General features: G+C 46.9%; 1 protein-coding gene and 2 pseudogenes across 2 annotated transcripts in view, besides 2 other annotated features; 2 read left to right on the top strand and 1 right to left on the bottom strand.

Moving 5' to 3' along the window:
* Nucleotides 3,430–22,501, bottom strand: part of ATP12A (ATPase H+/K+ transporting non-gastric alpha2 subunit) — a 32,065-nt gene continuing 12,993 nt past the window's right edge. For both annotated transcript variants that reach the window (NM_001185085.2, NM_001676.7), the window contains exons 11-23: nt 21,324–21,458; nt 17,052–17,244; nt 14,980–15,155; nt 13,831–13,967; nt 9,439–9,589; nt 8,711–8,879; nt 8,469–8,623; nt 6,415–6,538; nt 6,074–6,219; nt 5,309–5,442; nt 5,009–5,110; nt 4,493–4,584; nt 3,430–4,408 (exon numbers count right to left, since the gene is read on the bottom strand). In NM_001185085.2, the coding sequence (NP_001172014.1) occupies nt 4,380–4,408; nt 4,493–4,584; nt 5,009–5,110; nt 5,309–5,442; nt 6,074–6,219; nt 6,415–6,538; nt 8,469–8,623; nt 8,711–8,879; nt 9,439–9,589; nt 13,831–13,967; nt 14,980–15,155; nt 17,052–17,244; nt 21,324–21,458 (1,743 nt within the window). In that variant the 3' untranslated portion in view covers nt 3,430–4,379. The remainder of the gene's footprint in view (nt 4,409–4,492; nt 4,585–5,008; nt 5,111–5,308; nt 5,443–6,073; nt 6,220–6,414; nt 6,539–8,468; nt 8,624–8,710; nt 8,880–9,438; nt 9,590–13,830; nt 13,968–14,979; nt 15,156–17,051; nt 17,245–21,323; nt 21,459–22,501) is intronic.
* Nucleotides 4,584–5,783: an enhancer, noted in NCBI's record as "CDK7 strongly-dependent group 2 enhancer chr13:25284257-25285456 (GRCh37/hg19 assembly coordinates)". NCBI's record gives its function as "activates an origin of replication core promoter dependent on BRD2, BRD4, P300/CBP, MED14 and CDK7 cofactors, with strong dependence on CDK7, by STARR-seq in HCT116 cells {active_cell/tissue: HCT116}" and the evidence as "EXISTENCE:reporter gene assay evidence [ECO:0000049][PMID:35650434]".
* On the top strand, nt 11,114–11,564 carry RPL26P34 (ribosomal protein L26 pseudogene 34; annotated as a pseudogene).
* On the top strand, nt 12,237–12,346 carry RNY1P7 (RNY1 pseudogene 7; annotated as a pseudogene).
* Nucleotides 20,910–22,109: an enhancer, noted in NCBI's record as "CDK7 strongly-dependent group 2 enhancer chr13:25267931-25269130 (GRCh37/hg19 assembly coordinates)". NCBI's record gives its function as "activates an origin of replication core promoter dependent on BRD2, BRD4, P300/CBP, MED14 and CDK7 cofactors, with strong dependence on CDK7, by STARR-seq in HCT116 cells {active_cell/tissue: HCT116}" and the evidence as "EXISTENCE:reporter gene assay evidence [ECO:0000049][PMID:35650434]".

Below are 22,501 nucleotides of genomic sequence, written 5' to 3'. Positions count from 1 at the left end.
GCTCTTTCACCCAGGCTGGAGTGCAGTGGCGTGATCTCGGCTCACTGCAACCTCCGCCTCCTGGGTTCATGCCATTCTCCTGCCTCAGCCTCCTGAGTAGCTGGGACTACAGGTGTCCGCCACCGCGCCCGGCTAATTTTTTGTATTTTTAGTAGTTACAGGGTATCATTGTGTTAGCTGGGATGGTCTCGATCTCCTGACCTTGTGATCCGACCGCCTCGGCCTCCCAGTGTTGGGATTACAGGCGTGAGTCACCACGCCCAGCCAGCCACTGTCTTTTTAAGAGACATTAGATGCCACCAGTGGAATGATGATAGCAGAATGAACAAATGTGGAGAACTCATGATCTTTGTAGAGTCAGATGCACCTGTCCAGGCTCTTAAGGAGTGCAGCCGTGTACATTGAGACATATATCTTGTTCTAGACTCCTGGCGAGATGACACCTGCTTGAGCATCTCCTGTCTCTATCTTGATTGTGATGTGGGCAGTCAGGGTGGTTGTGAGCCTTTCTAGGAGCCTGAGTTGAACATTTATGTCTCGAGTCACCTAGAGGCAACCCCCCTTAAGAAACTCCTCCATTGAGTCTGTGTATTCCATTGAAGGTACACACACCAGTTACCACAGCCTGGTCTGCCTCCCATCCTCTACACAGAAGCCAAAGTGATCTGAACATGTCAACTGGATCAGGTCACCTCTTTTATTAATTGTCTTCAATAGCTTGTTTATTCGTTTTTGTAGAGATGGGGTCTCCCTACGTTGCCCAGGCTGGTCTCAAACTCCTGGTCTCAAGTGATTCTCCTGCCTCAGCCTCCCAAAGTGCTGAGATTAAAGGTGTGAGCCACTGCACTGGGCCTAATAGCTTGTTTTGAAATTAAATGCAACCTCCTTCATTTGGTCTCTGAACCCCTCTAGGGTGAGATTCTTGCCTGTCCCTCCAGTTCCCCGTTCCAAGGTCTTCCCTGGCTGTGTGTTCCTGCTAGGCCCCTCTGACCTCTCAGAGCTTTTGCTCATGCTGTTCCCTCTTCCTGTCATTCTGTCTGCTTCTTTGCATTCATCTCCTCAAAAAGGACTTTGCTAGGCCGGGCATGGTGGCTCACGCCTATAATCTCAGCACTTTGAGAGGCCGAGGTAGATGGATCACCTGAGGTCAGGAGTTCAAGAGCAGCCTGGCTAACATGGTGAAACCCCATCTCTACTAAAAATACAAAAATTAGCCCAGCGTGGTGGTGGGTGCCTGTAGTCCCAGCTACTGGGGAGGCCGAGGCTGGAGAATCACTTGAATCCAGGAGGCGGAGGTTGCAGTGAGCTGAGATTGTGCCACTGCACTCCAGCCTGGGCGAGAGTGTGAGACTTCGTCTCAACAACAACAACAAAAAGGACTTTTCTGACTACCCTATTTAAAAGGACTTAGCTGACTGCCCTCAATCCTGCCACCTGATTATCTAAGCCCCATTATGCCTTTTCAAGACCTTATCACAATTTGTATTTTCCTTTCACCCCTCTACTGGTGTACTGGCTCCATGCTCTATCTTGTTCTGGGCTGTGTTCTCAAGCCATGCAGGAGCACTTCCTACATCTTTGTCGAATTATGGAAAGCTCTTTGGTTGACTGAGCATTCACATCTTAATGATAGGCAAGATAAATATTCTTTTTCTATTGCTGGTGGGGGTGTAAACTGATACAGCTTATCTAAAGATAAATTAGGCAATGTGTGGCCAGAGCCTTAGGAATGCTCTGAATGCCTTGATTCCAATTTGAGGAATCTTCTATAAAATGGAGATGTGTGGTACAATATTGAGGATAAGATGCAGCCTTTTTGAGAAAGATGCCTAGTAGGAAATTAATGAGCTATCTCACCGTGCAGATATAGTTAGCGAAAGCACTCTCAATCTACAATACTGTGCAGTCATTAACACCATGTTTTTGATGTTAAATAAAAAAGGCAGAATTGAAAACTTTATTTAATTTTACCTAAAAATAAATATATGTGTGGAAAAACTCCAAAGAAATGATTACTCTTTCATTTAGGTATATGACTACATAGTGAGATTCAGGGTGATTTTAATTTACTTTTTAATCTCATTTATTCTAAATTTTCTATTTAAGAAAATAGCTCATTTAGAGCTGCAATTTTATAATCAGAATAAATTAGATTGTTTTAAAAAGCAAAGACTCTAGGAATTCAGCCTCATGTTTATGTCTCTGAGATACTCTACCACATCAATTAGATTTAAATTGACATTTTTTTTTCCTATAATAAAAGACATCTAGGCTTCAGAGGGTCAATTAAATAGTCCCTCCAAAAACACCCTCTGAAATGGATTTTATTGCCTTTTTCTGTCTACAACTTAATAAAGCTACTCAATAATGCTAGTGTCTTTTCTGGGATTTCTTAAGTTAGTTATTTGTTAATTTTATAAATATTTGAGTGTCAACTTTTTGCAAGAGTAAATAAGCACAAATAGGAACGTTATTTCATACATAGTTCCTGCTATGAAGAGGCTTCTAATTCCAAGTTAACTCCTTTCAACCCTAATCCAACCCCAAGTTAAACCTTGCAGCTTTGTGCTAAATTGATGGCCTTGTCCTGCTGGCATTGGCAGGACCAAGAGCTGCCAAGCATTGCAGCCATGAGCACTCAGGCAGCCTGTCAAGAAAGATTAAGTAAGGTCAAGTTATTCTTAGCTGAAGTCTAGAAAGCATTAGCTGCCTTGTCGAGACTGGAACGAGAAAGCCATGACCACACTGCCCAAACCACTCTGGGAAGTGTTTGCAGTTCACTGGAACTACTGATAGATTAGTCCAATGATAATTGTGGCTGAACACAGATTACAAATCTCCTGAGGACAGCAACATTATTTTAGCTTACATGGCTGCACACAATATGCACTGGAATCTATATACATAAAGTTACAAGGATAGTCTCCTTCCCTCTTTCCTGCTCCTACATGTGACCCCAAGAGCATGGTGACTCTAAGGCTGCCTTTTCCTGTCCAGGAGATGCCAACCTAGAGCCATCAGCCCCAGATGCCCCCGAGTGAGACTGTAATGGAGAGAGGTGACGGGGCAGGCCACTAGATGAGGAAAGCTTAACCAAACATAATTCTCACGTTCTGTCAAATGAGTTAGTGCGAGGTGTGCAGTTGATGGAAAGGCTGTAGAACCCTTCTCTCGAGTGCTGCTGCAGAAAGACGGGCCCTCCCACAGGCGTCCGACCAAGAATCGAGGGCACATCAGAGGCCCTGGCTGGAGCCCTGGGGTCATGAGGAAGAGTTTGAAAGAAAAATCCTACATTTCCAGATCTTCCACAGATAAGTAAAATGACCAGAAGGAGCAACGAAAAGAAAATAGGAAATCATATCTTATTTTTTTGTCCCATGCTCTTCATTCTAGAAAAATGTGAACCAATTAGAACACCACAATTAAACCTGGGTTTATAAAACATCTTTTAGTTAAAAATGAGGCCTTTCCGGGCCTGTCAACATGGAAGTGTCACACATGAATACACCTAAGTTAAAACATGAAACATGACTGACAAAACGTTATTGCTGGAGAGCACCTGGCAACTGTTTTACAAGAAATAAATATGACTATTGAAACCATAACAGCTCTCTACTAGGGTTGAATCCTGGTAAAGAAAGTCCCCTTGGATTAGCTGAGCATTTTGAGTTAGGATATGCAAAATGAACTGGGAGCTCAGTTTTGGAGGAGCTGATGTAGGGGTGGAGGGCGACGGGGCATAAAGGGCTGGGGAGATGACCAGAGGTGGGATGGGGTGGCGTGGCCAGGGAAACTGTGGCAAGGGCCTTCAAGAAGGACGTCTCAGAGTTAAACGAGTCAAAGCTGAGGTCATGCGTGCTGCTGTGATGTAAACCTGCCGCCACTTCCATCTCCTGCAGACCCTCGGGTGAGTTGGCCTTTTTCGAGCAAGGAGACCATGAAAACATACCTTCTCAGGGGATCTGCAGAAATCTTAGGGAGGTCATGGGGCCTTTAATAGGGTGTGGAAAGGAGTTCTGAGCAATCCTAGCTAGAGCTTAAGGCAGGCCCCAGTAGATGCCTGGGTTACACAAGACTATTAACATCAAGGAGTTTCAAATACACATAAACACATTCTTCCCTATACCATTACCTCGAAATGTACGTATTTTTTAATGAGGAGATGGAGATAGAAAAGAAAATCCTATATAAAGAGTTGAATTTCAGTTTTAAAGTGCAAAACATCAGTGAGCATCCTGCATACAGCTTTCTGCATGAAAATTTCCTCTTGTCTGAATTTTGACGATGTCTGCACTGCAGGGGAATAGCCCAGCAAACGGTCAGAAGATGAACAAGTGTGCCCCAACGTGCTGCTGAGAGACATAGGAAGGGAGGTGGTCTTAATAATACATGTTCTTATCCCACCAGCCTGTAGAGGTAGAAAAAAGTACATCAGAAATGGAGAGTCTGTTGAAGTGGGTAAACAGAGCCTCTAAAATCATAGGCTACTCACTTCCAGGGTAGAGCCTGATGAAGAGCTTCCGCACCTCATCATACACCCAGATCAGGATGGCGTGCGGCACAGCCACAAACCAGTACTGAGCCCTGGAAGCAAAGGGATGGAAAGTGAACCCTGACTCATCCACAGGGATAGCCCAACCCTGCCCAATGGGAATGGGGCTTCTCGTTCATTTGTCTTGCTTTACTGCAAAGAACGACAAATCCACGAGGTCCCACAAAATAAAGGTGGAAAGCTCCTTGTTTAACCTGCACTGTGACTGCTAGAAGCAATGTCTGCCTTTGAAGCAACCTGTTGGATGAGGATGAAGGCCGGTTGGTGAGGTCTAGAAAACCCATTTCCACTTCTGGAAAATGCAGATCAAAGCTTTGGGCTCACAGAGCATGGGATCAGTTTGACGTCTTTTGAAAGACTTGGGGAAGAACCCTGGGAATCCTCAGGTTTATTTAGGCTGCGACAGCTCAAAGCAGAGGCTGGCTCTTTCCTCCATGCTGTTGAGGGTGAACTCACCTAAGCATGGTGAAACTCAAGGCTGTGACACTTCCGAGGCCATAGGAGAGGATCAGACCAATGATGATCTGTGAGGTGATCCCCACCCAGATGACTTTATTTCTGCAAGACACACAAAAGCAGACAGACTTGGGATTCTTGTGGCTTCATGATCATACACCCAGCAGACCATGCCACCAGAAAAATCAATGCCTCTGGGGTTACAAGTGTGGCCAGAACTCTGTCTTGTGAAAAACAAATCATCATCATCCTTGCACGGCAGGCCCAGGGCTGCCCCAGGAGGCCGGGCACAGGCAGTACCTGAAGAGACCCTGCTGGAAGATGGAATTCCTCCGGGTTTTCCTGATGATCAGATCTGCTATTTGCTGGACTAGGATGCCAACAAAGAAAGCCGTGTAGCCCGTCCATTCTAGGTATTCCCTCTGGTACCTTGTCTGTTAATGGGCAGAGAAGGAAGAGACCTTGAGGCCTAAAGGAAAACTTCTAGGAAATTCCAATGCAGTTCTCTAAAGCTTCATGTTCTTTCCACACCTCACCCGGACTGAGAATGGACCACCTTCTAGTGTTTGGAAAGAAACATTTTTCTTTCTTGAACCAGCTGAGTAGAGAAAAATGTTAATTTTTTAAAAAATTATCATTACTATTATTTCTAACACAGGCAGGGTCTCACTGTGTTGGCCAGGCTGGTCTCAAACTCCTGGGCTCAAGTGATTCTCCCTCCTCAGCCTCCCAAAGTGCTGGGATTATAGGCATTAGCCACTGCACCCGGCCTGAAAGATGTAAATTTATTTGGCCGCACTGTGGGTGTGGCTGGGCTGGTCACTCTTCTATACCAATGGCAAAGCTAAGGTAAAAAAAGGGACCTCTTGTCATCTAGCCCAAGACAGGAGGCTGTGCCATGAGACCTGGCAAAGGCCAAACACGTGTCAGCAAGGGGGCCCTGAGCCCTATTAATTGAAGCTTTCCCAGGCTGTTCAGGGACATGGAGGTTCTATGTAATTCTGCGCAGGGCAATGAGCATGGAGAGAATCAGGTGGACTCTGCAGCAGGGCTCCCGCCACTCACCCATTCCTGCCCATAGCTGTCTTTCAAGTCATTCACGTAGTCCTTCTCCCATTCTACCCGCAGGTTAATGAGAGTGCGGGGCAGAAAGCCCTCTTGTGCATAGACGGTGAAATACACAAGGAAAGCTCCCAGGGCTTGCATGAGGCCTGAAAGAACAAGAGAGATAGGACACAGGTTCTATGATGGCCTCAGGAAACTGCCTCATCCTGTCTACTCTCGGTTCCCCCTCCCTCCCCAACCCAGGCCCCACAGGAAAACCACACTTTCTGGCTGTGCCCCCCACTCCAGTGAATTCTCGGGGCAGGCCCTCGTGTGATGGGGAAGACGCGCCCTCATCGTACCAATGTGCAGGTATGAGTACACAGCGAGCGGCTGGTTCACCAGCCTGTCCTTATTCTTGTGGCGAGGCTTCCTGTTCATGATGTCACTTTCAGCTTTCTCGTACGCCAAGGCAATGGAGGGGATCTAGAGGGGAAGAGGCTGGTGAGGTCTAACCCCAGGATGTTCTGCTCTACCCACAGTAGGGGAGGGGGGCTGGGGTGGGTGGGGCACTGGCTGGATGGGGTGGGGGGCATGGAGCTGGCCCATCCAGGCTATAGGCAGTAGAGGGCGTGTTGTCTGTATGGAAATTTAAGAATAGTGCCTTTAGAAATCAGCTGCTTTTTATCACCCTGTGCTGGCAGTTCTGAAGGATGCTGGTTATAAAACACTCTTCCCCTACAGGGAGAATTTCTTGTGCCGTCCTCTCCCTCCAGGTGGGAGGACCTGCTAAGAGACAGATCATTGCGCCCCACCTCCAGACTTCCCAATTCAGGAGGACTGGGCTGGGGCCAGAGAATTTGCATTCATTTCTCTTTCTCTTTCCTTCTTTCTTTCTTTCTTTCTTTCTTTCTTTCTTTCTTTCTTTCTTTCTTTCTTTCTTTCTTTCCTTTCTTTCTTTCTCTTTCTCTCTCTTTCTCTTTCTCTCTTTCCCTCTCTCTCTTTCTCTCTTTCTTTCTCTCTTTCTCTTTCTTTCTTTCTCTTTTTTAAAAGACAATGGGTGTACAACCTATTTCCATTCCTAGCCCAGTTATCTGGAATAAGATTTTTATTTTATTTGTTCTTAATTTTTATTTTTTAAGAGACTAGGTCTCTCTGTGTTGACCAGGCTGGACTCAAACTCCTGAGCTGAAGTAATCCTCCTGCATTGGCCTCCTGAGTAGCTAGGCTACAGGTGTCCACCAGTGCCCAGAGTGTGCATGTCTAACAAGTTCCCAGGTGATGCCCGCACCAGGCCTGGAGAAGCACTGCAGCAGAGCAAAGCAGGCAAATGTGAAGGGCTTGGAAAATGATCCATCAACTTTGGGGACCTCAATACCCCTCAAAGGGAAAGACATCTCCAGTCTCTCTAGGAATTAGGGATTACCTGGGTGTTGTAGAAAACAAGAGAGGGGAAGGGGGCAATTTGAAGGGGAAGGGGGCACTTCGAAGGGCCAGTTTCCTGCTAAGAATTCAGCTTGCTGTCTGTTGCTTTCCCTGCTTGCCCACGTAAGCCACAGCCACATGGGCAGCTTAGACGGGGCTTTCTTTAAATGGATACTGGAAAAGGGGAAGGTTTAGGTGACATTACTGTAGGGCAAGGCTTTATAAAGTCTTCATAACTGCTACTTCTTACTGTGTTTAGGTAAAGGTCTTCCATGTCAGACTCTCTTACTTAACAAGAGGTGGCTGTGAGATTATCACTTTAGTCACTGGGCCCCCAGTGGTTATTTGGGTGATTAATCTGAGTGACAGCTTCATCTTCCCAAAAGAAAAGGGAAGCCCATAGGCTGAAACTGACCAATGGCATTTCTTTTTTTTTTTTGAGGATGAAGACTCATGTCTTGAAAAGCTTGCTATAGCTCAGGTGCAGTGACTCATGCCTGTAATCCCAGCACTTTGGGAGGCCGAGGCAGGTGGATCACTTGAGGCCAGGAAACCCCATCTCTACTAAAAATACAAAAATTAGCCAGGTGTGGTGGCACAAGCCTGTAGTCCCAACTACTTGGGAGGCTGAGGTGGAAGAATCACTTGAGCCTGGGAGGCGGAGGTTGCAGTGAGGCAAGATAGCACCACTGCACTCTAGCCTAGGTGATGGGAGTGAAACTCTGTCTCAAGAAAAAAAAGCTCACTATAGAGTGTTTTTAATTTCCAAACATTTGGCAGATGCCTCTGGTCCCTTGCTTTGAGGTGTGGCATGTGGACTGGTAGAATGGGCACCACCTGAGAACCTGTGAGAAATGCAGAGCTACAGGCCCCATCACATGGAAGCTGAGAAGCCTTGAGTTAGTCCATCCCCGGCCCTTGAAGGTAGCGACCCTGAACTTGACCTCCCCTGGGGCAGGCATCACAGCCTGTTCCCTTCAGTGTCACTTACAATGTCTGTCCCCAAGTCAATGAACAGAATGGTGATGGTGCCAATGGGCAGGGGGAGCCCGACAATGATGTAGATCAGAAAGGGGCACAGCTCGGCAATGTTCTTGGTCAGGGAATAAGCAATAGTCTTCTTGAGGTTGTCAAAGATCAGGCGACCTAGGCAGAGAGGTTTCTCCTTCAGAACTTACTTCTAGTCCCCCAGACCACCCTGGCCCTTGGGAAGACCCCCTGAGACTCACTCACCTTCCTCCACCCCTGTGACGATGGATGCGAAGTTGTCGTCCAGCAAGACCATGTCGGCTGCATTTTTGGCTGCATCAGAACCTGCTATCCCCATGGCAATCCCAATGTCTGCCTTCTTTAGAGCCGGAGAGTCATTAACTCCATCCCCGGTCACAGCAACAACAGCATCCTATGGCGGGGGACCCAGGGAGAAAGTGGGAGTGAGCAGGCCCAGTGGGTTGCAGGCCTGGCAAGAGCAACAAGACTTCCCTTTCTCTTGAGGTTGCGAGGATGATTATAGCTGAACGGAAAGGCCCATTTAGGGGAAAAGATAAAGATGAGAAATCTTAGAAGCAGGAACAAGGGTCTCCAAACAAGATACGTGCAAATGAGGAAAACCTAATGCGCAGGTGTCTTGTATCTTATGTCTTCACATTTTTTGTTTTAAATCTTTGCATTTTAAATCTCTCTTTACTCACAACTACCACAGTGGCAAATGCTTCACCGGGCTCTCATGACAAAATGCAGAGAGCTGGGGTGAGCCTTTCGGGGAACATGTGGTGGGGGTCTCAAAGGAGGACAGGGGCCAGCCCACCTGAGAGGTTGGAGAGGTCAGGTGATGGGGATGAGCCAAGAACTCTCTCTTGAAGTTTCAAAGGCACCACAGCCTGATGTGAGATCCAGACCTCTGCACTTGCCCATGGACAGTGATGGGCCTGTCAGTCCTCTGGACACTGCTGTCCACCCACCTGCCTCTGACAGCCCTCCACAATGATCAGCTTCTGCTGGGGGGATGTCCGGGCAAAGACAATCTCCTGGTAGTTGGCTAAGATCTCATCCAGCTGTTCTGAGCTCATGTCCTTCAGCTCCATGCCAGTCACCACAGCGGCCTTGGCATCCCTAGAAGGGCCAGAAGAAACTGGGTGAGGCCCAAGGGCAGATCTTAGGTTGAAACACTGTTCCAGGCAGGATGCTGGCTGAAGCCTCTCTGACTTGACCTGGAACCCAGTGTCCTTGATACCTAATGCTCTAGTGAGGTAACAGGAGTCCTGGGAACACTTTAGTCTCCATTTCAAGAGGGCAAACTGAGGCTAAAATATAACACCATTTCTTGGTACCATATAACAATAGGAATAAAAAACCAGGTAGCCTTATCCCTACTAGAACAGGTGAGAGTGGTACTTCCTAGAGCAACGCTTTACTTCAGAAGTAAAAGGAAGTTAAAAAACTGCCCATTCATGGCCAAACGCAGTGGCTCATGCCTGTAATCCCAGCACTGTGGGAGGCTGAGTAGGAGGATCACTTGAGGCCAAGAGTTCAAGACCAGCCTGGGCAACATAGTGAGAGCCCCTGTCTCTACAAAAAATTTTAAAAAATTAGCCAGGTATGGTGGCATGTGCCTGTGGTCCCAGCTACTCAGCAGGCTGAGGCAGGAGGATTGCTTGAGCCTGGGGGGTTGAGGCTGCAGTGAGCCATGATCATGCCACTACACTCAAGCCTGGGTGACAAAGTGAGACCCTGTCTCAAAAACAAAAATAAAAATAAAACCCCCAAACTGCCTGTTCATATGTTTTGGGTCCTAGAATTCTTTTATGGCCAAACAAGGGGTAATAATTACTTGCCGTTGGGTATTTCAGATTTACAGAGTGTCATCTTTGTGCAATGTGCTACGTAGGCAGAAGTTTACTGAAGTCTTTGAGCAGCGCTATTGCCTGCTGACTATAAAAGTAAGGTTCTAGGGCCTATTGATTATGCAGAGCTGCCTGAGCCAGTCCCCTGCTAAAACTCTTCAGGGGCTTTCCACCGTGCTTGGAGCAGACCCCGGAATCCCTAACTTTAGCCAGCGAGCCCAGGTGGGGCCTGCGTTGTCAAGCTTCGCCTCACCTTGGGCTCTCCCTCCTGCCCGCTGGATGCTCTCAGTTCTGACATCCTCCATCCCCTGTACCCTAAGGCCTTCACGGGTCTCGCTCCCTGACCAGGAATGGGCATCTCTCACCTCAGCTTCTCGTGGCTAACACTACATTTCAGCCTTCAAATCTCAGCTTAAACAATGTAGGTACAAACTGCTGCAGGTCTTTTTCTTTACAATTTGCAAGTTTTGAGCTTTCTAGGTCTGTTTTACCTCTTGGTGCTAAATACTGGAATTCTAGCACTTGACTCAAACTACAGGTCTCCTTAACCGCTGGCAAAAAAACAAAACAAAACAAAACAAAAGAAAGTAAGAGAAGAAAGAAGGGGTGTTTCCTTTCCCCTTACACCTGCTAAGATGCAATTTTTATATGGTCATGAAACTAGAGCTGATGAAGTGAATAACTGAAAACATTCACAAAAGCATCCACTTCACTCAGTGTGGTGATTTGTATACAAATGTGTAATCCACTCTTCCCTTTTGTGGCCATGAGCAGAGTGGCAGTGACCAAGAGGAAGTGCAGTCCCTTTGTGACTTTTGACTGAGGCAAGAATCATAAAAGTCATTTCAATGCACCTTCCCACATTCGTAGGAAGATTATGTCTTTCTCTCGTTCCAAAGAGCTGAGACAGAAGCACATTCTGGAGTCTGCTACAAGCACAGTTCCATCCATGCCCATCTGAAAGGATGAGGAAGTTGAGGTTGCACAAAGACACTATACGGGCCAGCAAATTGGCAAAGCAGTCCAGGTTTATAGGAAGAAATGTGCCACCTATACTGAACAGGAGCACAGGAGGAGGCTAAGGGCAGGACCGTCGTGTGCACGTCACCAGCACATGGCCATCACCAGGCTAAAACTAGACAAAGACCACAAAAGATCCTTGAATGGAAGGCCAAACAAATCTTCCTAAGTAGGGAAGGAAGGGCAAATATAAAAAAGAAGCAATTGAGAAGATGCAGGAATAAGGTATCTTATATACAACTTTCATTAAAAATTGCTAAAATGGGCCAGGCGCAGTGGCTTACGCCTGTAATCTCTACACTCTGGGAAGCCAAGGCGAGCAGAACCCTTGCAGTCAGGAGTTAAAGACCAGCCTGGCCAACATCGTGAAACCCCGTCTCTACTAAAAGTACAAAAACTAGCCGGGTGTGGTGGCACATGCCTGTAACCCCAGCTACTCAGGAGGCTGAGGCAGGAGAATTGCTTGAACCCAGGAGGTGGAGGCTGCAATGAGATTTCACCACTGCACTCCACACTCCAGCCTAGGCAACAGAGAAAGACTCCATCTCAAAAAAAAAAAAATCTGCTAAAATTTTAAATTAAAGTCCCAGCTACTTGGGAGGCTGAGAGGGGAGGATCCCTTGAACCCAGGAGGTGGAGGCTGCAATGAGATTTCACCACTGCACTCCACACTCCAGCCTAGGCAACAGAGAAAGACTCCATCTCAAAAAAAAAAAAATCTGCTAAAATGAAGCTGGGTGCAGTGACACAAGCCTGTAGTCCCAGCTACTTGGGAGGCTGAGAGGGGAGGATCCCTTGAACCCAGGAGGTCGAGGCTGCAGTGAGCTATGATCACACCATTGCACTCCAGCCTGGGTGATCTGACAGGACACCTTGTATCTAAAAAAAGAAGACTCGGCTGGTCTGAAGGTAGTAGTGAATTAGCTCAACTGATTGTTCACAGTCAGTTACAGATCAAACTTCTACTCTTTCCCCTCTTCTCACTACTGCACTTGACTACTCTTAAAAAAATTTCTTTTAGTCCAGGTGTGGTGGCTCACGCCTGTAAGCCCAGCACTTTGGGAGGCTAAGGTGGGTGGATCACTTGAGGTCAGGAGTTTGAGACCAGCCTGGCCAACATGGCAAAGCCCCGTCTCTACTAAAAATACAAAATTAGCCAGGCATGGTGGCGGGCGCCTGTAATCCCAGCTATTCAGGAGGCTGAGGCAGGAGAATCGCTTGAACCCAGGAGGTGGAGATTGCAGTGAGCTGAGATCACACCACTGCATTACAGCGTGGGTGACAGAGAGAGACTCTGTCTAAATAAACAAACAAACAAACAAACAAAATTTGTTTAAAATTCTAAAGTGAAAAAAAGTATAATCCGATTATCTTACAAAACCAAACAAATAAACAAGCCCCAAAGTTGTTTTCATAGAGGGATGTTATGTATACTAAAGGGCACTGCAAGACTCTTAGACTTCAGGTACTGCTGCTGTGCCCAGAGGCGGGAACCCTGGTTGGTTGTCTAACGTGGTAATTTGTTATGACCTGACAGCTGTGTGTCCCTAAAAGACCTAAGTGCTTGGGGAAACTGAAGAGGTGCATTGGTCTTTCCCTCATCTCCCGCATGCGTGAAAACATAACCCAGCTAATGAACATTACTTCTCAACCTGAGAATTCGGAGTCTTTGACTCATGGAGACCAGGCACAGTCCAGGCCACTCTCCTGCATGCCCAGCTCCCTAGCCTTGTGTGGCTCCCTCATTACACTGGCCACATCATTGTTAGCTTTGTTTGTGTCTCCTTGGCTCGATGGAAAGATTCCCCAACGGTGTGGATAGTATTGTTCAGTTTGCTACTGTAGTTCCAGGTCTTGCCTGGTATATAGTTGGCACGCAGTAAATACTTGTTGAAAGAACAAATACATGAGTGAATGTACAGTTGGATGAACATGATTAAAAGAATAAGGATAAACATGATTAAAAGAATTAGGAGAAACAAGGAAAAAAACTTTCCTTAGGAAGCTTCCATTCTATCTATTACCAAATAAAAAAGAAGGGTGTGTTTACATAGCTACACGTTATGAAACCGGGTGGATAAATACCCAAGATGCTTACCAAGGAGGGTGCATGAAACAACCCACAGGGTTCTTACGATTCCAAATTATGCAACTGCATCTATGGCAAGTAATTTCACATAAACCCTTTGTTTCAGTTTTTCTTATTCTAAATTGGGCACATAGGTTTTGTGCCCAGGGCACACTGGATTTTGAAATTTCAAACAAGGAACACATAAAGGGTCATTTCATGGTATCAATACTGTGCCTGGCACATATTAGCTGCTCAGTGAAATTAGAGTGAATACATGGATATGCAAATAATAGCTCAAACAAGCCTAGCATAACTCTGAGAGCAAAAAGCTGATTTGTTCCAAGTAGTGCAGCTCTTTAGAGCCAGTGGGGCCCCATGGGTATAAACTGGAATTTTTACTATGCTGCTCCTGTGCTTACCGTTTGTTAACTTGCTCCACAGCAATGTTGAGGCGATGTGCAATGTCTTCCACTGTTTCACTGTTGGCTGAAATGATCCCCACACTCTTGGCAATAGCTTTGGCTGTGATGGGATGATCACCAGTAACCATAATAACCTAGAGCAAAGACAACGAGAAGGCCCACGGGTAATGAAGAACTCGGTTGGCCAAAGTGGGGATGGTTCAGTAATACCTACTCTGTAGTGCCCTGGGAGAACGTGGTTGGTGATTACAGTGGCAGCTCTGGATCTACGAGACAACTGTCTTTGGAGGAAACACTAATCCCATTGGGTCTACCCTTGCTCCTAAGCTTCATACGCTTCCTCCTCTGACATGAAAGGAAGCCCTTCCCCTTTGATGCCACTTTATTTGTGAAAGGGCTGGTGAGTGTCTACTTGGGGGTAGCCCCATGTTACTTCAACAGTCTTAATATTAACCTAGTAATGATGAACATGGATTATGGGGGCTGAGCCTCAAGACTGAGTAATAAAGCCTTTTTTCTTTCTTTTTTTCTTTTCTTTTCTTTCTTTCTTTTTTTTTTTTTTTTTTTGAGACAGAGTTTCACTCTTGTTGCCCAAGCTGGAGTGCAATGGTGTGATCTCGGCTCACTGCAACCTCTGCCTCCTGGATTCAAGAGATTCTCCTGCCTCAGCCTCCCGAGTAGCTGGGATTACAGGTGTGTGCCACCACATCTGGCTAATTTTTTTGTATTTTTAGTAGAAACGGGGTTTCACCATGTTGGCCATGGCTGGTCTGGAACTCCTGACCTCAGATGATCCGCCTGCCTCAGCTTCCCAAAGTGCTGGGATTTCAGGCATGAGCCACTGCGCCCAGCCAATAAAGCCTTTTAGTATCTACCATGGACTAGGGCGAGATATGGTCACTTCAAGGCACTAGGAGATTCTTCTCATTGCATTTACTGTTTATGTGGTTCATTCCACATAGACACAATCATTTTCTTTTTGTGGGACAGTTTCAGTAACCTTAGCACAGTGAAACTAGAAATAAAATAGGAATTATGATATTTACTTGAAGACACCTAAATACTGACCATCTGCTATGAAAACCATTATTAGAAAGGAACACGACATAAAGAAAGAACTTCTTGAGTCAGGAAAATAACTCCCACCTTGATCCCTGCACTCCGGCATTTGGTGACTGCATCTGGCACGGTGGACCGAGGGGGATCGATCATTGACAAGAGTCCCACAAAACAGAGGTTGGAGGTCGGAAAGTTCATAGCGTCTATGTCAAATGAGTAGGTTTCTGGAAACTCGTCTGCTGGCAGGTAGAGATGACAGAAACCTGTAATACAGATGAATTAGTGAGTCAGTGAAACTAGAATAGGAAACGAAAAAAAATAAGAGGAGAACATGCTCATACACCTTGGTCCTCTGCTGTTTTACCAATACATTAGAATAAGCCAGAATTGTTTAATTTCTTCAACTCCATAATGCATTTTTTTAGGAAAGACATATTTCATCCAAATATAATTCACTGTGAGCTCATTAGGCTCTGTGTTCTAGAAATATATCTTGCTATATTGCCAAGTTCTAGGGCAATACACAGTCTCGACTTCTGAAGTTTAGCGGGGCACAGAGTTAAAGGGATCAAGCATAGGGTACATCTCAGGGCAGAGACACATTTCAGCTGCCTGGAGGATTAGGAGAGACTTCCCCAAGGAGGTCACATGTGAGGTGAAGCTTGAGAGGGGCAAAGATGATTTCTAGGGAAAAAAGGGAGGGTGGAGGTGGGAAGGCCATTTTCAGCAGAGAAAACAGCATGTGAAGGAACAAGGGGGTTCAGCGGAGGGGCACAAAGTTCAGTGCTAGATCAAGATAAGCCCAAGAGAAAGGCCAGCAGGAATGGGGCCGAGCCATCCTTTTCTCAGAAGGCATCAGCCTCTCATAGGCTGAGGTGGAAGGGACTCTTGTGTCTGGTGGGACCTCCAAGATTGTGTGATCAGCTTTCACATCCAATTTATTTTCAGCCTGGCCCACTGCTTTGCAAATGTCAATGGAGCAGGCTTTGAGAAATCAAACGCAAGTGGGCATCGATCCCGTGTAGAATACCCGGTACTGTGGGTTATTGGATGCCTAAAGCATCACCATCTCATTTATATGCTTTATCTGATTTGCCAACTCCAATAGCCTTTAGAAACACACATTCCACAGACTGCATCTGTATTGGTGAGGACTTCCATGGTGTTTAATGAGCCGGATCGTCAACCATACACTTCTGTTTCCTTGAATTTGTCATTCTGTGGTCCTGATGGGGCACCATTCCGCCAGCCCTGGTGCTGACAACAGGACACACTGTCCCCTTTGACAACACCGCAGGCACCCCCATTGGGTCCTCCTCCTGTTGCATTTCTAAGGTTCCTTCCTTCCTGACACTTTGTCTGCATCACTGGCATCACTCTCTTCCTAGTCGTTAAATGGGAAGCTTAATCATTTTTAAACATTATCCTTCTCTGATAGGTTCTAAATCTTACCAAACTCTACCTCTATGAAGTCTCTTGCCCTGATCTCTCCTTCCCATTCCCATCACCCTGAAAAAATTCCCATCCCTTTTGCCTGAGCAAGGGCAGCTGCTTCCTATGGAGATGTGCATCTCTCCTCTCCCTGCTGCCGCCAAAGACATTTAAAGAAGTTAAAGAAATTTAACTCCTTCCATAAAGTCTTCCCCAGCCCTGCGACTGCCCAGCTCACTCTAGTGGCACAGCCCTCAGTGCTCTCTACTGACTGCAGGATGAAACCTGGCTCCTCACCCAGATGTTCAAGACCTCCATCTCATGACCTCCAGTCCAGCCCTTGAACCCTGTTTCTGTGACAGTGCCATCTCACCTGCTGGCAGCACCCAATGTGCCCCACGCCGTTCTGCCTCTGTGATTGGCCTGTGCTGTTCCCTGGGCCCTGGATACTTTCCCCTATCTCCCCTCAAATGCAGTCACTTAAGGCCCAGTTTGAAATTTAACTCCTTCCATAAAGTCTTCCCTGAGCTTGCCTCTCTGGAGGCCATCCCACCCTGCTTGGTGCTGTCACACAGCATCCTCTCCTTGTTCCCATCCTGCTTATCATGTTCTCCTTTACATGCTTCACGTGGATGCCATGGCCACTGGGCTAGGTCACAGGTCCTCAAGGCGCCTGCCTCATCTCTGTGCCCACCAGGTGATGGGCAGGGCCCTGCCGCCGCACTCACCCAGCACACGCTCGCCCAACCCGCCCAGCTCCATGTAGGCTGTGTGGAAGGTCTTGGCAGTGCTCTTGTCCAGTGGGTGCTCCTCGCCGTTGATCATGATGGTGCTGCATTTCTCTAGGATGCGCTCAGGGGCCCCCTTCATCACCATGAGGAAGCGCTTGCCGTGGGGGTCATCCATCTCGTGGATGGAGAGCTGGGAAGGAATGAACTGAGCGTGTTACTTACAGAAAGGTGAAACGCATTCCTTCTTCTCTACTGGTCCATTAAATGTAAAGGAGGAAGAGGCACAATGGCATCCTCAGCATGTTCCGCCCTTTTTCTTTCTGTGGCCAAGTAAGACGAAGAGCTCTAGACTTGGCCCCAGCCCAGAGTGGGGCACCCACTCTGGATAAGTGGAGCTCATCTTTCAAGCAAAACTGGCTGCTTTAGGCAGGCTAGTTGTGGCCGTCAGCGTGTGAAATCTTGTGCCTTGAACAAGATCTCCCAGGGTGCCCGTGAGAGTTAGGGGGCTGCGAGCCTCTGCATCTCACCTCCTCTACCTCCCTGTGGGGAGCAGCCGTCTTTCAGACCCAAACTATTCTGAGCTCAGGAGGGGAGGAGGCGACAGGAATTTCTGCACCTCCTCACCTCATTGTCCACCCAGTTTTCCTGCTTGGATGTCATAGAAAATGGCGGGGTGTGAGGAAGTGGACACTTCCACGTATAATGTTTCAGGAAGACAGCCGAGTCACAGGAGTCTCCATTTTAATAGGAATGCTCTTGACCCAGCAATTCTACTTCTAGATCCATCCTAATAAGATATGCAAAAAAAATCGATATACAAGAATAAAAGGACTAACTCTTATCTAGCCCTTCTGATAAGCCAGGTACTCTTCTAAGCACTCAAGAGGAATCTCAGGAAGCTGGAGTGTTTGGGAGAAAATAAGTTGCAAAGAAAAGTGCTACAATTTTGGGTAAAACAGTTCTTTACAAATCAGTATTTCTTAGACTTCTGGGTATCAAAGATGAGTACAAAAAGAAGTATAGGGCAAATAGGGTTACCAGCTGCTGCTGCTGCTTTTTTTAATGATCAAGTAAAGACATTGAGAAAACCAACCAACCAACAAAAACCAAACCAAACAGAAAACCTCCCAGCTCTATCACTTTCTAAAATATAGGCCTTTTCTTTTTCTTTCTCTCTTTCTCTCTTAAATTTTTTTTTTTTTTTTTTTGAGACGGGGTCCCACTCTGTGCCCCAGGCTGGAGTGCAGTGGCACGATCACAGCTCACTGCAGCCTCGACCTCCCAGGCTCAAGCAATCCTCCCACCTCAGCCTCCCAAGTAGCTGGGACTACAGGTATGTGCCACCATGCCCAGCTAATTTCGTTTTTTGTTTTTTTTGTAGAGATAAGGTCTTGGTATATTGCCCAGGCTGGTCTTGAACTCCTGGGCTCAAGCAATCTGCCTTCTTCGATCTCCCAAAGTGCTGTGATTACAGGTGTGAGCCACTGTACCTGGCCAAGATAAGGCTTTTTACATTTAAAACATAGGGATAATATGAAACACTTTTATGGTATGTACCACGTGCCAGGCACTGTTCTAAGTGCTGTCCACATCGACTTATTTATTCTCAAAACAACTTTAAGGCCATGGGTACTATTATTATTCCCTTTTACAAAGGAGGAAACTGAGGCACAGAGGTTCAATGCTTCACTCAGGGTCACTGAGCAATAGGTGGCTATCTGGTGGCTGAGCTGGGATTTGAGCCCAGGCTAGCAGGCTCCAGAGTCCCTGCCCTTAATCATGGTGGCTACAAAGGATAATCTTTTAAATTAAATACATTCATCTTTATATAAAACTTTATAAAACATTTTCCAATTTGCCGTAAACTGTTTCAAATGTCTTAACAGACCAGTGTGTTTGGGGCATCACCATTCTAATCAATAAGACACAGGCTTTCCATTTTATTTCCTTCCCGCAGAGACGTCTCCTTCCAAGGCCATGACATCTAAAGCCCTGGTGAGGCTGAGCACCGCTCATGTGTAGATATAAAATGACCCTAACAGCATCCAGACAGCACCTCCGACCTCTTCAGCAGGAACTCACACAGCCCCTCTCCCCTTTCTTTTTTTTTTTTTTTTTTTTTTTTTTTTGAGACGGAGTCTCGCTCTGTCGCCCAGGCCGGACTGCGGACTGCAGTGGCGCAATCTCGGCTCACTGCAAGCTCCGCTTCCCGGGTTCACGCCATTCTCCTGCCTCAGCCTCCCGAGTAGCTGGGACTACAGGCGCCCGCCACCGCGCCCGGCTAATTTTTTGTATTTTTTTTTTTAGTAGAGACGGGGTTTCACCTTGTTAGCCAGGATGGTCTCGATCTCCTGACCTCATGATCCACCCGCCTCGGCCTCCCAAAGTGCTGGGATTACAGGCGTGAGCCACCGCGCCCGGCCCCCCTCTCCCCTTTCTAGTCCCACTCTGTGTAGCCACTTTCTCCTCCAACTTGTACATGAGGCCTCATGGAACCTGCTTTTTCTCCCTTTTGCAACTGGGCATGCCTTTACCTTGGGAGATGGAGCTTCAGCAGGGCTCCAAGTCCTGCTGCTGATGGAGGCATCATCTAACCCCATCTTCACACTGTGCACTGATGCGCGGCACCTCAACCTCCTCATCCTCTAGCCACCCCACAGTGTTGTCGTGCGAATGAATAATTTAATACTTGTGGAAATTAGCACAGAATAGCTCCTATTATCACTAGTATTATTAGTATAATAATACTCATCCTAAAACAGTCTTTTAGGACTGTTGCGCACTCTATTTTCACTTTGGTTTTACGTAAGAGATGTGGTTTCTTGGCTTGAGTATTTTACATCATATGTTTCTGGTTAGTTGTCTATTTAGCTAACTGTGATTCTCTGTTGGCTCACTATCCACAAAGAAGACATTTGCAACACAAGAGTTCTTCTCTAGGCTGGGCTTGGTGGCTCACGCCTGTAATCCCAGCACTTTGGGAGGCCAAGGCGGATAGATCACCGGAGGTCAGGAGTTCGAGGCCAGCCCAGCCAACAAGGTGAAACCCTGTCTCTACTAAAAATACAAAAAAATTAGCTGGGCAGGGGGTGCATTCCTGTAGTCCCAGCTACTCAGGAGGCTGAGGCAAGAGAATTGCTTATACCTGGGAGGCGGAGGTTGCAGTGAGCCGAGATCGTGCCACTGCATTCCAGCCTGGGTGACAAGAGTGAAACTCCTTCTCAAAAAAAAAAAAAAAAAAAAAAAAGAGTTCTTCCCTAACCCTAAATTCCATCCGAACTAAGACAGGTGGATAATCACCAGAAATCTCCACACGTACAGTTGTGGTTATTCCATTTCTATACTTTACTGTTGTGCAAAGCCCAAGTCCAGATCCAGTGTGGGCTCTGTGGAAAATCCCATCTGCATGGGGACCTGGGGCTCCCAACTGTCATTTGTCTTAACATGGGGAGGCTGTGATGGCTGACTGTCGGCCAGCCCTGCTTGCTGAGATAACCAGGCAAGGAAGGCCGTCTTCTACCTGAGCAGGGGATGGAAAGGAGACCCCCACCCACAGCACAGGGGCTGGCCCCAGAAAACGACGGGGCTGTCACCCCAGGGGCTGCTCACCGGTCTCCCCAAAGGGCAGGGCTTGCTCCCATGGCCTGAACTGTGCCGCACTCCCTCTGTGTGATGGTGGAAGAATCGTGGACCTGGTGTCAGGCTTGGGAACACTGGGTGCTGTGTGACTCTGGTCTCTCAACACTTTCTAAGGGCCTGCTTCCTCCTCTGAGTCAGGATTCGTCAGTCCTACCTCACAGGCCGGATGCGAACATGGAACAAGGCCACGTAGGTCGAGGGCCTGATGCACTAGAGGTGAGAGGAGCAGGTGTTCGGCCTCCCTGCTGCCCACCTGGCATTTATGCTTTGGAGTATGGCTGCTGCTCCTCACGGCAGAAGGTACCTGATAGTGGTGGTGTGAGTGTGTGTGTGTGTGTGTGTGTGTGAGAGAGAGAGAGTGTGTGCCTGTGACAGAGATGGCTCATTCATAGGAGCAGCCAGGCCCTGATGAAGTCCTTGCCTTTCTTTCTTTCTCTGCCCTGCTTCAGGGTTAGGAAGGAGGCCAGCAAGGGAGCTTGACCTAGGGGACCAGATGCCTGGGTGCTGTATCCCTGACGACTGTCTTTGAAGCCAGGTATCCTTCAAAATATGAGGTAAGCAAAGGATGCATGCAAGTAGAAAGGTCATGCTGCCGATGACAGAGATTACCGGTTGTGAGGAAAAACTCACCTGAAATTTATTAGTAGAGTTAAAAGGGATTTCAGCTACTTTGCGGTTTCTTTTTCTAATTTCCATCACATCACCCAAAATGACCTCTGAGAATTTTAAAAGAGCAGTTTCTGAGGCATCTCCAATCACAGCTTTCTGGGAATCAAAGAAGAAAAATATTTGCAGCACATATTTAATGAACCAACATGCCCTCAGCATAGGACCCAAAACACACCCTCCTGATCCCATTACCACCTAGCTGGAGAGACATTATCACGTGATCAGGGAGGGCCGCAAGACCGTGGTAAGCGTGTAAACAACAGTGCCACCTACTGGCATTAGGGATGTTTGGAGAAGCTGGACCTCTGCGAGGACTGAAGATTTCGTGGAAAAAAGCAGCTACGAACTAGATCTTGATAGATAGGTGGGTTACCGATACACAGAGAAGAAAGCCTTCCAGAAACCAGGATGCGGGTGCAGGGGCATGAGGGGCAGGCTCGTCCGTGAGTGTTCAAGGTACAAGCGGATGTGGAGGGTGTGGCAAGACCTGGAGGGCCCTGAAAGGTAGCCTGAGGTCTAGACTTGAGAAGCAGAAAACAGGGAAGTACGGAGAGATTTTGAGCAAAGTTAAGTGACTATAAAAGCACCATTAAGGGAAATTAGTGGCATTCGAGAAAGACCCCAGGAGGGATAAACCGGAATCAAAGAGGTTTAATTCCAATCAGCCGGTAATCGGCTATTTAGATGCAAGGTACTGCTGACAAATACTAAAGTTATGTATATTTTGAAGCAAGAATGATAGAACTTGGTGGCTTACTGGATATAAGGAAAGGATAAAGTCAAAGATGACTTCCAAATATTCTGTTCCAATGACAAATAGAATGGTTATATCATAGACAATTAGAAAATTGCGGCAAGGCACTGATGTGCAGCCAGGCTGGGTACGGGTGGAAGTTAACAAGCATGATTTGTGCAACTTCCTAGCGGAAGCACACAGCCAGCCAGAGATTCGGGTTGGAGTTGAGGTAAGAAATTAGAGCTGGACATAAAGATTTGGAAGATATCGACAAAGAAGCAATTGGCCAAAAAGAGCATTCATGAGCTGTCTGACGGAGAGAAAAGCAAACAAACAAACAAAAAAATAAGAAAGAAAAAGAGTCAGGGAAGGAAACAGATGGCAAATAGAAAAGCCAGGAGAA

Source organism: Homo sapiens, chromosome 13 (assembly GCF_000001405.40).
Source record: "Homo sapiens chromosome 13, GRCh38.p14 Primary Assembly".
NCBI lineage: Eukaryota > Metazoa > Chordata > Mammalia > Primates > Hominidae > Homo > Homo sapiens.
This window is presented reverse-complemented; position numbering and strand designations above follow the sequence as displayed.